The 15,359-nt window shown below is 48.9% G+C and overlaps 1 protein-coding gene across 23 annotated transcripts in view, besides 1 other annotated feature; it reads right to left on the reverse strand.

Moving 5' to 3' along the window:
• Nucleotides 7,498-7,567: an enhancer, noted in NCBI's record as "active region_7141". NCBI's record gives its function as "activates an Ori minimal core promoter by ATAC-STARR-seq in GM12878 lymphoblastoid cells {active_cell/tissue: GM12878}" and the evidence as "EXISTENCE:reporter gene assay evidence [ECO:0000049][PMID:35858748]".
• MSI1 (musashi RNA binding protein 1) overlaps nucleotides 11,353-15,359 on the reverse strand; it is a 29,503-nt gene continuing 25,496 nt past the window's right edge. For 22 of the 23 annotated variants that reach the window (XM_047428872.1, NM_001414497.1, NM_001414496.1 and 19 more), the window contains one exon: nucleotides 13,021-14,796. The gene's annotated coding sequence lies outside the window, so the exon portion shown is untranslated. Of the gene's footprint in view, nucleotides 11,392-13,020; nucleotides 14,797-15,359 lie in introns of those variants that run through there. The other variant, XM_011538361.4, reaches the window with a different exon arrangement.

Below are 15,359 nucleotides of genomic sequence, written 5' to 3' on the forward strand. Positions count from 1 at the left end.
AAAAAAAAAAAAAAAAAAGAAAGAAAGAAAAAAGATCGCTGCCTGCAGCCTCAATGTCTTATCAAGTGCCTGAATCTGTGCACTGGGTCTGGTTGAATAGTCCCATCAGTCGTGCACCTTGCAGATAAAGAGACAGGTTCAGAGAGTTGCGGTAACTTGCCCAAGGTCACACAGTTGGCAAATGACAAAATAGGGCTCCAGTTTAGATCTGTCTGATTCCAAGGCAGAGGTTTTATTTTTTTCCACCACTCCGCTCTGCAGTGTGGGTTTGTGAGAAAAACCTGGGCTTTGGATTCCAAAGGCCTGAGTCTGAATTATAGAATACTAAAGGGCATTAGAACTGTCATATCAGAGGCCAGGCACGGTGGCTCATGCCTGTAATCCCAGCACTTTGGGAGGCTGAGGCTGGCAGATCACCTGAGGTGGAGAGTTCGAGACCAGCCTGACCAACATGGAATAACCCTGTCTCTACTAAAAACACAAAATTAGCCAGGCATGGTGGCTTATGCCTGTAATCCCAGCTACTCCGGAGGCCGAGGCAGGAGAATGGCTTGAACCCTGGAGGCGGAGGTTGCGGTGAGCTGAGATCACGCCATTGCACTCCAGCCTAGGGAACAAGAGCAAAACTCCATCTCAAAAAAAAACCTGTCACATCACATATCTATTTATTTATATATATTTTTTGAGACGGAGTCTTGCTCTGTTGCCTAGGCTGGAGTGCAATGGCGCGATCTTGGCTCACTGCAAGCTCTGCCTCCCAGGTTCATGCCATTCTCCTGCCTCAGCCTCCCAAGTAGCTGGGACTACAGGCACCCACCACCACGCCCGGTTAATTTTTTTTTTTGTATTTTTAGTAGAGATGGGGTTTCACCGCATTAGCCAGGATGGTCTCGATCTCCTGACCTCGTGATCCACCTGCCTCGGCCTCCCAAAATGCTGGGATTACAGGCGTGAGCCACCGCGCCCGGCCAAATATCTACATAACATTGTTTAGCTGAAATTCACATAACATTAACCACGTTTAAGTAAACAATTCGGGGGCATTTAGTACCTTCACAGTGTTGTGCAACCATCACCTCTATGGGGTTCCAGAACATTTTTATCACTCCAGAAGGAAACCCTGTACCCATTAGCAGTCACACTCCCTCAGCCCCTGGTAACTGCTAATCTGCTTCTCTCTCTCTCTCTCTTTTTTTTTTGAGACAGAGTTTCGCTCTTGTCGCCCAGGCTGGAGTGCAATGGCACGATCTCGGCTTACTGCAACCTCCGCCTCCCAGGTTCAAGCGATTCTCCTGCCTCAGCCTCTCGTGTAGCTGGGAATTACAGGCGCCTGCCAGCATGCCTGGATAATTTTTGTATTTTTAGTAGAGACAAGGTTTCACCATGTTGGTCAGGCTGGTCTCAAACTCTTGACCTCAGGTGATCCACTCCTCAGCCTCCCAAAATGCTGGGATTATAGGCATGAGCCACTGTGCCTGGCCTCTGATCTGCTTCTCTCTATATAGATTTATAATTGGTTAACTTGGTGCTCTTCTGTTCCTATGTCACCTCTACAACAACCCTGTGGGATAAGGAGGGCCTGGTTATTTAATTTATTTATCTGTTTTTTTTTTTTGAGACAAAGTGTCGCTCTGTTTCCCAGACTGATGTGCAGTGACACGATCATAGTTCACTGCAGCCTCAACCTCCTGGGCTCAAGCAATCCTCCCACCTTAGCCTCCCGATTAGTGGGGACTACAGACATGTGTCACCACACCTGGCTAATTTAAAAAAATTTTTTGGGCCAGGCACGGTGGCTCATACCTGTAATCCCAGCACTTGGGGAGACCGAGGCAGGCGGATCACGAGGTCAGGTGATGGAGACCATCCTGGCTAACACAGTGAAACCTTGTCTCTACTAAAGATACAAAAAATAAGCTGGGCATGGTGGCGGGTGCCTGTAATCTCAGCAACTTGGGAGGCTGAGGCAGAAGAATGGCGTGAACCCAGGAGGCAGAGTTTGCAGTGAGCCGAGATCACGCCACTGTACTCCGGCCTGGGCGACACAGCGAGACTCTGTCTCAAAAAAATTTTTGGAGACACGGCGTCTCCCTATGTTGCCCAGGCTGGTCTTGAACTCCTGGCCTCAAGTGATCCTCCCATCTAAGCCTCCCAAAGCATTGGGATCACAGGCGTGAGCCACTGTGCCCAGCAACCTTGATAGTTTTGAGGAGTATTGGTCAGGATGACCCTCTCTTGGAATTTGTGTGTGTGTGTGTGTGGGTGTGTGTGTGTGTGTTTGTTGTAGTCTCACTCTGTCGCCCAGGCTGGAGTGCAGTGGCACAATCTCGGCTCACTGCAATCTCTGTCTCCCAGGTTCAAGTGATTCTTGTGCCTCAGCCTCTGAGTAGCTGGGATTACAGGCACGTGCCACCACGCCCAGCTAATTTTTATTTATTTATTTTTATTTATTTTTGAGACGGAGTCTCACTCTGTCACCAGGCTGGAGTGCAGTGGCGCGATCTCAGCTCACTGCAACCTCTGCCTCCCGGGTTCAAATGATTCTCCTGCCTCAGCCTCCCGAGTAGCTGGGACTACAGGTGCACACCACTGCGTCCAGCTAATTTTTGTATTTTTAGTAGAGACGGGGTTTCACCATGTTGGCCAGGATGGTCTTGATTTCTTGACCTCATGATCTGCCCGCCTCAGCCTCCCAAAGTGCTGGGATTACAGGCGTGAACCACTGCACCTGGCTCTCTATTGGAATTGTCCTGTGTTTTTCTCATAATTAGATTACAGTTATGGGTTTGGGGGAGGAAGACCACAGAGGCAAAGTGCCATTTCATCACATGGCTGCTTTATGTTTAATCATCTCTTTTCTGGGCCGGGCGTGGTGGCTCATGCCTGCAGTCCCAGCACTTCGGGAGGCCGAAGCGGGTGGATCACCTGAGGTCAGGAGATCGAGACCATGGTGAAACCCCATCTCTACTAAAAATACAAAAAATTAGCCGGGCGTGGTGGCGGGTGCCTGTTGTCCCAGGTACTCCCGAGGCTGAGGCAGGAGAATGGCGTGAACCCGGGAGGCGGAGCTTGCAGTGAGCCGAGTGCCACTGCACTCCAGCCCGGGTGACAGAGTGAGACTCTGCCTCAAAATAAATAAAAAAAAAATAAAAATAAAAATGAAATACCATTAAAAGTTCAGTTTCTCAGTCACAATGGCCACATTTCAAGGCTCATAGACACATGTGGCGAGTGGCTGCCAGATTGGCAGCCACAGAATGTTTCCATGATCACAGAAGGTTCTGTTGGACAGGGCTGCTGTGGATTGTCACAGAGCCTGTCTCAGGGCTGCCCCATGGGAGGTGGGGGCTATGAGGACTAATGGAGGGGGACTTGGTTAGGTCAGAATCCCACATCAGCTTGACTGAATGGTCCTGCCTCTGCAGCCCCAGAATGAGTGGAGTCTGCCCAAGCAAAGGGAAGCCTTGCCCAGCAAAATGTTCAGTCCCTCTTATGTGGGTTCCTTGGGGTCATAACAAGACAGAGGACCAGGCACTGCTCCTAGGTTTAGGCCTGAAGGATGCTAAGTGGGTGATTGGGGGTGGCTCAAAGAAGGAGAAGCAGCTATGGTTGCAAGTAAAGTTATTAATTACCCTTTTTTTCCAGGCTGGAGTGCAGTGGTGCAATCTTGGCTCACTGCAACCTCCACCTCCCAGGTTCAAGTGATTCTTCTGCCCCAGCCTCCTGTGTAGCTGGGACTATAGGCAAGTGCCACCACACCTGGCTAATTTTTGTATTTTTATTAGAGATAGTGTTTTGCCATGTTGGCCAGGCTGGTCTCAAACTCCTGCTCTCAAGTGATCCACCCAACTCGGTCTCCCAAAGTGCTGGGAATACAGACATGAGCCACCGCACCTGGCTAATGAGTTACTATTAACTGAGCGCTAACTCCATCCCAGGTCCCATATGCTAAGAACCTGGCACAAAGGTCGAGGTAGGTCCAGTACAAACTTCATTTTACAGAGAAGACAGCTGAGGCTGAGAGAGGTTAAGTGACTGCCCCAGAGTCACACATCAGGACCAAGATATGAGTTCGATCTGGTTCTCATGCTACCATCTCAGGCTAGGGAGTACTGAAAGTCCCTTGAGGAAGGAAGAGATTCAGTCCAACCTACGACTTCCCTCCTTCCCCAGCCCATGAAAGCCTTCCTAAGAACAATCTGGACAAACTCCACGTGCTGGAGTTTAGGCAAAGCACCTGGTGGGGAGGGGGTCCGGCCGCTGCCACAACCCTCTCCCCCTGGAAAGAGACATGCTCACTGTGACAGCCCAGACCTCTGTGGCTCCTGCCACAAAGGTGACAGTATAAGGGACCTGGAAGGGCACTAGGTAGCTCCCCAAGCCCCTACACTCTTTGTACCTTGACCTTCCACCACCCCAGATCCCTGCACAGGTGTGCGAAGCACAGCCTCTCCCAGCCTGGGAAAAACACACTCTTCAGTGGAAAGAACAGCTAAGCATAGCTGCTTGGCCCCTTCAGGTGAGGGCGTACCCACGCTTCAGCAAGGCCACATCTACTTGGCTTCTTTTTTTTTTTTTTTTTTTTTTTGAGATGGAGTTTCGCTCTTGTTGCCCAGGCTGGAGTACAATGGCGTGATCTCAGCTCACCGCAACCTCCGCCTCCCAGGTTCAAGCAATTCTCCTGCCTCAGCCTCCTGAGTAGCTGGGATTACAGGAAGGCACCACCACACCCAGCAAATTTTGTATTTTTAGTAGAGATGGGGTTTCTCCATGTTGAGGCTGGTCTCGAACTCCTGACCTCAGGTGATCCGCCCGCCTCGGCCTCCCAAAGTGCTGGGATTACAGGCGTGAGCCACCGCACCCGGCCAGGTCTATTTGGCTTCTAAAGGATAGGGCTCCTGTTTCTAGGAAGTGCTTAACAGCAGCTACCAGCTACCATCTGCTGAGTGTTTCTATACGCTTGGCACTGTGCTAGCACTGTGCTTTACATATGTTGTCTTTCAGCCTAACAACACTCTTCTGATATAGTTATTATTACTGTGATAGTTGTCATCATCTTCCCCATCTTATAGATAGATGATGAAGCAGTTTCAGAGAGTGTAAGTAACTTGCTCAAAGTCACATGGCTAGAAAGTGGAGAAAAAATTTGAACCTGTGTCTACCTGCCTCTGATTCCTGCTCTCTCCAATGATAACAACAGCAGCAATTAACATGCTGTGAGGCTGTGCTAGGAAGGATACTAAGAGCCTTGTATAGGCTAGCCCACCATCAGGTGCCAATGAGCAAAATGAGGCAGTATACCGGTGTAACTAAACCTTTTCCACTCCCAAAGCCACCATCTTCAGTGTCAGGATCTTCCTGACAGCCTCCTAACTGCTATAATGGCACTGTCTACCTCCATCTCTCCGGAGAAGGGATAGTGTAGCCAGTGGCTCCCAAACTTGACTGATCCCTGGACTCCCCTGGAAAACTTAAAGAGTGATATAGTCCAGGCATGATGGCTCAAGCTTATAATCCCAGCTATTCTGGAAGCTGAGGCAGGAGGATTGCTTGAGTCAGGAATTCAAGGCCACATTGTGCTATGATTGTATCACTCTACTCCAGCCTGGGCAACAGAGGGAGACCCTGTTTCAAAAAAAAAAAAAAAAGGTAATACAGATTATTGGAATGTAAGATGTGCAGGTTGGGTATAAGGATCTGAAATCTGTGGTCTCTCTCTCTTTTTTTTTTTTGAGACGATGTCTGGTTCTGTCACCCAGGCTGGAGTGCAGTGGTGCAATCTCGGCTCACTGCAACCCCTGCCTCCCAGGTTCAAGTGATTCTCCAGCCTCAGCCTCCCAAGTAGCTGGGATTACAGGCATGCGCCATCACGCTTGGCTAATTTTTTTGTATTTTTAGTAGAAATGGGGTTTCGCCATGTTGGCCAGGTTGGTCTTAAACGTTTGACCTCAGGTGATCTGCCCGCCTTGGCCTCCCAAAGTGCTGGGATTACAGGCATGAGCCACCGTGCCCAGCCGCTCTTTTTTATTTAAATTTTTTTTCAGCAGGCCAGGCATGGTGGCTCACGCCTGTAATCCCAGCATTTTGGGAGGCCGAGGCCAGCGGATCACCCGAGGTTGGGAGTTTGAGACCAGCCTGACCAACATGGAGAAACCCCGTCTCTACTAAAAATATAAAAATTAGCCGGGTGTGGTGGTGCATGCCTGTAATCCCAGCTACTTGGGAAGCTGAGTCAGGAGAACCGCTTGAACCCGGGAGGCAGAGGTTGCCGTGAACCAAGATCGCATCATTGCACTCCAGCCTGGGCAACCAGAGTGAAACTCCATCTCGAAAAAAAAAAATTTTTTTTTCTAGGTGATTCTGATAGTTATGTAGTTTTAAACCACTGTTTTTTTGTTTTTTTGTTTTTTTTTTTGAAATGACTATTGGGTTGGATAGAGGTTACTGGGTGTTATTATGCTTTAAAACTCAAATATACTATATATTTTTTCTCTTCTTTTTTTTTTTTTTTGAGAACACCATGGGGGAAAACGCCCCCATAATCCAATCACCTTCCACCAGGTCCTTTCTTCCACACTTGGGGAATACAATTTGAGATGAGATTTTGGTGGGAAAACAGAGCCAAACCATATCATTCCTCCTTGGCTCCTCCCAAATCTTATGTCCTTTTCACATTTCAAAATCAATCATGCCTTCCCCACAGTCCTCCAAAGTCTTAATTCATTCCAGCAATAACCCAAAAGTCCAAGTTTAAAGTCTCATCTGAGACAAGGTAAGTCCCTCCACCTATGAGTCTGTAAAATAAGAAACAAGTTGGTTACTTCCAAGAAACAACGCAGATACAGGCATTGGGTAAATGTTCCCATTCCAAATGAGAGAAATTGGCCAAAACAAAGGGGTCACAGGCCCCATGCAAGTCCGAAACCCAGCAGTGCGGTCATTAAACCTTAAAGCTCTGAAATGATCTCCTTTGACTGCATGTCTCACATCCAGGGCACACTGTGTGGGCGACAAGCCACCCAGGCGCCGAGGCAAGAGACTGAGGACATGAGCTGTTCCAGTATAATAAAATATAAAACAAGAATAGTTATACTAGATATAGATCTTAGATATGATTATATATGAATATCAATAATCATTAGTTGGTAGCAATGACTCTTTATTCCAATATTATAATAATCCTCGCTCTATAATCATAACTTAGGAAAAACCAGACCATGCAGAGATGGGAGCTGAGGGGACATAGTGAGGTGTGACCGGAAGACAAGAGTGCGAGTCTTCTGTTATGCCCGGACAGGGCCACCAGAGGGCTCCTTGGTCTAGCGGTAACGCCAGTGTCTGTGAAGACGCCCGTTGCCAGGTGGACCGTGGTCTAGTGGTAGCATAAGTGTCAAGGGAAAACACCCACTGCTTAGCAGACCGGGAAAGGGAGTCTCCCTTTCCCTGGGGGAGTTTAGAGAAGACTCTACTCCTCCACCTCTTGTGGAGGGCCTGACATTAGTCAGGCTCGCCCATGGTTATCTGGAGGCCTAACCGTCTCCCTGTGATGCTGTGCTTCAGTGGTCACGCTCCTAGTCCGCCTTCATGTTCCATCCTGTACACCTGGCTCTGCCTTCTAGATAGCAGTAGCAAATTAGTGAAAGTACTAAAAGTCTCTAATAAGCAGAAACAATGGCGTAAGCTGTCTCTCTCTCTCCCTCTCTCTCTCTGCCTCGGCTGCCAGGCAGGGAAGGGCCCCCTGTCCAGTGGACACGTGACCCACGTGACCTTACGTATCATTGGAGATGACTCGCACTCTTTACCCTGCCCCTTTTGCTTTGTATCCAATAAATAACAGTGCAGCCAGACATTCAGGGCCACTACCGGTCTCCGTGACTTGGTGGTAGTGGTTCCCCGGGCCCAGCTGTCTTTTCTTTTATCTCTTTGTCTTGTGTCTTTATTTCTACACTCTCTCGTCTCTGCACATGGGGAGAGACCCACTGACCCTGTGGGGCTGGACCCTACACACTGATGTAAGGGGTGGGTTCCTAAGGCCTAAGGCAGCTCCATCCTGTGGCTTTGCAGGGTACAGCCCCCATGGCTGCTTTCAGGGGCTATGTACCTGTGGCTTTTCCAGGCACATGGTGTGAGCTGTCAGTGGATCTACCTTTCTGGGGTCTGGAAGATGATGGCCCTCTTCTCAGCTGCACTAGGCAATGCCCCAGTGGGGATTTTGTGTGGGGGCTCCAACCCCACGTTTCCCTTCTGCACTGCCCTAGCAGAGGTTTTCCATGAGGGCTCTGCCCCTGCAGCAGACTTCTGCCTGGACATCCAGGCATTTTCATATGTATTAGTCCATTTTCATGCTGCTGATAAAGACACTTCTGAGGCTGGGAAGAAAAAAAGATTTAACGGACTTACACTTCCACATGGCTGAGGATGCTTCACAATCATGGCAGAAAGTGAAAGGCATGTCTCACATGGTGGCAGGTAAGAGAAGAGACCTTGTGTAGGGAAACTCCCCCTTATAGAATCATCAGATCTTATGAGACTTATTCACTATCATGAGAACAGCACAGGAAAGACCTGCCCCCATTATTCAATTACCTCACACCAGGTCCCTCCCACAACACGTGGGAATTCAAGATGAGATTTGGGTGGGGACACAGCCAAACCATATCACCATACATCCTCTAAAACCTAGACAGAGGTTCCCAAACCTCAACTCTTTTCTTCTGCACACCTGCAGGCCTATCACCACATGGAAGCTGACAATGCTTGTGGCTTGCACCCTCTGAAGCAATGGCCCGAGCTGTACCTTGGCTCCTTTTAGCCACAGCTGGAGCTGGAGTGGCTGGGATGCAGGGCACCATGTCTGGGGGCTACACAGAGCAATGGAGCCCTGGATCTGACCCACGAAACCATTTTTCTGTCCTAGGCCTCTGTGCCTGTGATGGTAGGGGCTGTCATGAAGATTTCTGATGTGCCTTGGAGACATTTTCCCCCATGGTCTTGGCCATTAACACATTTGGCTTTTTGTTACTTATGCAAATTTCTGCAGCTGGCTTGAATCCCCAGAAAATGGGTTTTTCTTTTCTACCACATGGTCAGGCTGCAAGTTTTCCAAACCTTTATGCTCTGCTTCCCTTTTAAACATAAGTCCCAATTTCAAACCATCTCTTTGTGAATGCACATGATAGAATGCTTTCAGAAAAGGCCACTCACCTCTTGAATGCTTTTTTGCTTAGAATTTTTCTTCTGCCAGATAACCTAAATAATCTCTCTCAAGTTCAAAGTTCCACAGATCTCTAGGGCAGGAGCAAAATGCCACCAGTCCCTTTGCTAAAGCATAGCAAGAATGACCTTTGCTCCAGGACCAAGTAAATTCCTCATCTCCATCTGAGACCATCTCAGCCTGGACTTCATTATCCATATCACTATCAACATTTTGGTCAATACCATTCAACAAGTCTCTAAGAAGTTCCAAGCTTTCCCACATCTTCCTGTCTTCTTCTGAGCCCCCCCTAAACTGTTCCGACCTCTGCCTGTTATCCAATTCCAAAGTCACATCTACAAGTTTCAGGTTATCTGTATAGCAGTACACCTAGCAGAGGTTCCCCATGAGGGCTCTGCCCCTGCAGCTGACTTCTGCCTGGACATCCAGGCATTTTCACATGTATTAGTCAGTTTTCATGCTGCTGATAAAGACGTACCTGAGACTGGGAAGAAAAAAAGATTTAATGGATTTATAGTTACACCTGGCTGGGGAGGCCTCACAATCATGGCAAAAGTTGAAAGGCATGTCTCACATGGTGGCAAGACAAGAGAAGAGACCTTGTGTAGGAAAACTCCCCCTTATATAATCATCGGATCTCATGAGAGCTGGTACCAATTCTCTGTATTAGTCTGTTCTCACACTGCTATAAAGATACTACCTGAGACTGGGTAATTTATAAAGAAAGGAGGTTTGATAGTTCCACATGGCTGGGAAGCCTCAGGAAACTTACAATCATGGCAGAAGGCAAAGGGGAAGCAAAGCACATCTTACATGGCAGCAGGAGAGAGAGAGCAGAGTGGGGAGTGTTACTTTTAAACCACTGGATCTTGTGAGAACTCACTATCATGAGAACAGCATGGGGGGAACCACCCCCATAATCCAATCACCTCCCACCAGATCCCTCCCTGGGGATTTCAATTCCAGATGAGATTTGGGTGGGGACACAGAGCCAAACCATATCACCCACATACTTCTTTTTTATTGGCTATTTTAAAGCAAATCATAGCTCTCAAGTCATTTTATTCATAAGCACTTCTGTATGCATTTCAAACTTTAAGTATTTTTTAATTCTGGTAAAAAATATATAAAGTTTACCATCTTAACCATATTTGAATAGGCAGTTCAGTAGTGTTCAGTATATTCACACTGATAACATTTTTCATCTTGCAAATCCAAAACTGCACCCATTAAACAACTCTCCTTCTCCCTTGCCCCAGGCTCTGGTAACCACCATTCTACTTCTTGTTTCTGTGAATTTGACTAATCTCAGTACCTTGTATAAGTGGAATCATATAGTATTTCATCCACAGTCTTATTTCATATAACACGATGTAAGCTGATGTCCTCAAGGTTCATCCATGTTGTAGTATATGACAGTATTCCCTTCCTTTTTTTTTTTTTTTTTTTGAGACAGAGTCTTGCTCTGTCACCCAGGGTGGAGGCTGGAGTACAGTGGCACTATCTTGGCTCACTGCAACCTCCACCTCCTGGGTTCAAGCGATTCTTCTGCCTCAGCCTCCCAAGTAGCTGGGATTACAGGTGCCCACCACCACGTCTGGCTAATTTTTGTATTTTTAGTAGAGACAGGGTTTCACCATGTTGGCCAGGCTGGTCTCAAACTCCTGACCTCAGGTAATCCACCTGCTTTGGTCTCCCAAAGTGCTGGGGATTACAGGTGTGAGCCACCACATTCAGCCCAATTTCCTTCCTTTTTAAGGCTGAATAAATAGTCCATTGTATGGATAGATCACATTTTACGTATCCATTTATCCATTGATGGACTTTTGGGTTGTTTCTACCTTTTGGCTATCATGAATATTGCTGCTGTGAACACTGGCGTACACATATCTGTTTGAAGGGCTGGGTGCGGTGGTGCACGCCTGTAATCCCAGCAATGAGTGTGAAGTGGCATCTCATTGTCAACACTAAGCTCTGGGTCAAGTGGAAAGTAAAGACCTTCCCAGGAGGAAAGCAGGAGGGAGAAAGTGCAGAGAATATTTAAAAATATCCACTCTGATTATTTAAGTTAAAGGCACTTGAAAAACAGCAGGAACAAGATGATCACTCTCACCTTTGTGCTGTTTCTTAAAAGCAGAAGATGATGAAATTCCTGAGTGAAAGACCCCCAACCTGTACTGGAAGGAAAGGCAACATCCTTATCTTCGAGGGCGGGAAGTCGGCACCGAGATGATTCTGTGCAGGCCCTTGTTAAAGTAATTCTTTTTTTTTTTGAGACAGGGTCTTGCTCTGTCACCCAGGCTGGAGTACAGTGGTGCAATCTCAGCTCACTGCAGCCTCTGTCTCCCTGGCTCAAGAAATCCTCCCATCTCAGCCTCCCAAGTAGCTGAGACTACAGGCCTGCACCACCACACAACCGGCTAATTTTTGTATTTTTTTGTAGAGATGGGGTTTTACCATATCACCCAGGCAAGTCTCGAACTGCTGGACTCAAGGGATCCGCCTTCCTCAGCCTCCCAAAGTGTTTCGATTACAGTTGTGAGCCAACGTGCCCAGCCAAAATAGCTTTTTTTTTTTTTCTTTGAGACAGTCTCACTCCGTCACCCAGGCTGGAGTGCAGTGGCGCGACCTTGGCTCACTGCAACCTCTGCCTCCTGGGCTCAAACGATTCTTATGCCTCAGCCTCCCAAGTAGCTGGGACTACAGGTGCGTGCCACCACACCCAGCTAATTTTTTGTATTTTAGTAGAGACGGGGTTTCATGTTGCACAGGGTGGTTTCGAACACCTGAGCTCAGGCGATCCGCCCGCCTTGGCCTCCCAAAGTGCTGGGAGTATAGGCGTGAGCCACCATGCCTGGCCCAAAATAGCTGTTATCTTTTAAGCTTCTCCACATAATTGAGTGGCTTTTTCATAATTTACTATTCTTTGTCCAATCCAGTATATCAGTAACTCTAACTGCTTCTTTAGGTCTTCATTTCTCCCTCTCTCTCTCTTCTTTTTTTTTGAGAATGAGAGCATCTTGCTCTGTCCTCCAGGCTGGAATGCAGTGTCAAGAACATGGCTCACTGCAGCCTCCAACTCCCAGGGCTCAAGCAATCTTCCCACCTCTGTCCCCTGAGTAGCTGGGACCACAGGCTTGTGCCACCATACCTAAATAATTTAATATTTTATATAGATGAAGGTCTCACTAAGTTGCCCAGGCTGGTCTTGAACCCCTGGCCTCAAGCACTCCTTTTGCCTCAGCCTCCCCAAGTACTGGGATTACAGGTGTGAGCAACCACACTCTGCCTTCATTTCTTTATGGAGGCTCCCATGCCATGCACAACTTTTAATAAATAAATGTGTACGCTTTTCTCCTATTCTTTTTTTTTTTTTTTTTTTGAGACAGAGTCTCACTCTCACCCAGGCTAGAGTGCGGTGGCATGATCTCAGCTCACCGCAGCCTCCAGCTCCAGGGTTCAAGAGACTTTCCTGCCTCAGCCTCCTGAGTAGCTGGGACCACAGGCACCCACCACCACACTCGGCTAATTTTTGTATTTTTAGTAGAGATGGGGTTTCGCCATGTTGACCAGCCTGGTCTCGAACTCCTGACCTCAATTGATCTGCCCACCTCTGCCTCCCACAGTGCTGGGATTACAGGCATGAGCCACTGTGACTGACTGGCCCTGTTCATCTATCTTGTGTCAATTTAATTCTTGGATCCTGCCAGGACCCTAAGAGGATGGAGGTGAGTCCTGCCATCCCTAAAACAGGAAAATGAGGTATCCCTGAATGCACAGAGACACAAGACATTCACAAGCCCAGCAACGTTTTCAAATAATTTATTAGGAATTTAAAACTGAAAATAAAACCTGGAAAAAGAAGTTACAGATGTGGAGAGAAGAGACACCGGAGGATGGTAACTTGCTGGCTTCGAAACACCATGTAACATCTTAAAAAAAAAAAAAATCCCAAAGCAAATCAGAAAACGGAATTCCAGGGTCCTGAGCCCATGGTTGGGCCCAGTGGGGTGGAAGGGTCCGGGAATGAGGGAGAGGGAAGCTAAGTGTCTCAGGACTCAGCTCAAACGTGTAGAAAATTAAAAATAAAAACCAATAAAATGCAGCTTCTCTTTTATTAGGAAACATTAAAAAAAAAAAAAACCCAAAACACGAACAGCCGCGCATCTCAGTAACAAAGATTATTGCTTTGTGTTCTCAGGGCTGATAGGTTAAGCACCTCACACAGACAATTAACTCTCCAAAGGTGGGGTTTCCGGGTGGGGGCAATGCTGGGGAAGAGAGCTCAGGCCCTGGGCCTCATAACTGGGGGAGAGGGACACACAGAAGGGGGATGGCAGTGGGTGGGCCTTGGCCCTGCCACGCCAGCCAGGCCACTGTTCATGAAGGTCCAACGCTCTGAACCTCTCTTTTTCCTTAGAAGGGGGGTCTGGGGTGAGGGGCTGCCAAGGGACTCTGGCTGTGGGGTCATCCTGGTGGGAAACTTCAGTGAGAGAATGTGGGGGTTCCCTGAGACGCCCTTTGCTTTCCCCTGGGGTCTGCCCTCGCCAGAGCGTCCCCTGGTGCCCACTCATTGCGGGGGTCGAGGGGGAAGGGGGACAGACTGAGCAGAAACCATGAAGCCCCAACCTAGGTAGGGAGCAGGGGAGACCTTTGGAGAGTTAATTCCTGTCCAGCAGTGTCGCTGGGCAAGCCCTGCTCTTCCCACGCCCTTTGCCCCCACACTGGGTTTTTGGAGTGGGCAGGTCCAACCAAGGCCTTGACCCTGAGGGCCTGAGAGAGCGGGCCTGCCGTGGCCACAGCTGAGGCCTGCAAGCTTACAGTAACGGTGTCTGAGGGGACAGAAACAGGGGAGGGGGGAGCCCCTCACCCCCGAGGGGTCTTAGAGAGGGGTGGGCACATCACCTCACAGTATTTACATATGATACAGGACGGGATGGTTCCAGGGGCTCGGCCTGGCCTCCCCGCAGCCCTGCCCTCCTCTCCAGGGCTGGAGGGAGGCGGCCAGGGGCCCACACCCAGATAGACACTTTGTTCTCAGCTGGTGGGGGGCACCTGGCCCCTTGCCCCCTGCGGCCTGGGGCTTCACATTCACAAACCTAGAAATAGTTTAAAAAAGGTTTCTTTAAAAAAAAAAAAAAAAAAAAAAAGGGAAAGGGTAAAGGAGGGGAAATCTGAATAAAAAACAGGGGTTGGGCTGCGGCCTGTAGCAGGCTCCCTCCGCCTTCACTCCAGCTATGCACAAATCCAAAAGCCTTTTGGGGAGGGGGCGGTCCTAGGGGGGCGCGGCACGGAGGGAGGGATGGACCAGAGGGCTGGGGTGGGCAACCGGCTAATCCAAAATAAATAAAAGCAGGGCCGGGAGAGGGGCGGGTGGGGATGGGGGCAAGGGCGAAGAGGGGGACGTTAGTAGGGGAGCCAGACGCTGTTGGGGGCAGCAGGGCAGGGGCCGGGCCCGGGGAGTTGGGGGCAGGCAGTAGCGGGTCCGAGTCGCTGCAGGGGAGGGGGCGGCGGCTGCGGCTGAGGTCTCCCGCCCCCTCGCTGGCTCACTCGTGGTCCTCAGTCAGCTGCAGGCTGGGGCGCTGGGAACACAGCCAGGAGGTTATGGGGGCTCCCGGAGCACACGCAGCCCTCCCCAGTTCTCTCCCAGAAGAGCTTTGTTCGTAAACTACCTACTTTCTTCTTCTTATTTTTTTAGAGACAGAGTCCAGCTCTGTTGCCCAGGCTGGAGTGCAGTGACAGCGATCATAGTTCACTGCAGCCTCAACCTCCCTAGGCTCAAGTGATCCTCCTGCCTCAGCCTCCTGAGACTCTGGGATTACAGGTAGTATCTGGGACTACAGGTGAAAGCAAACACACTCTGCTCATTTTTGTTGTTGTAGCAGAGATGGGGATTCACTATATTGCCCAGGCTAGTCTCAAACTCTTGTCCTCAAGCCATCCTCCTGCCTTGGCCTCCCAAAGATCTGGGATTACGAATGTGAGCCACCACACCCAGCCAGACTTTGCACTTTCTGTTCCCTGGTTGGATGCCTCTTTCCCCAGATTTCGAATGGCTGGATTTATTTAAATGTCCCCTTCTCAGAGATACCTTCTCTAAACCCCACATCTAAAATAGCCCTGTCATGCACAGTCTGGAATTATC

This window comes from Homo sapiens, chromosome 12 (genome assembly GCF_000001405.40).
Source record: "Homo sapiens chromosome 12, GRCh38.p14 Primary Assembly".
In the NCBI taxonomy this organism is placed as follows: Eukaryota; Metazoa; Chordata; class Mammalia; order Primates; family Hominidae; genus Homo; species Homo sapiens.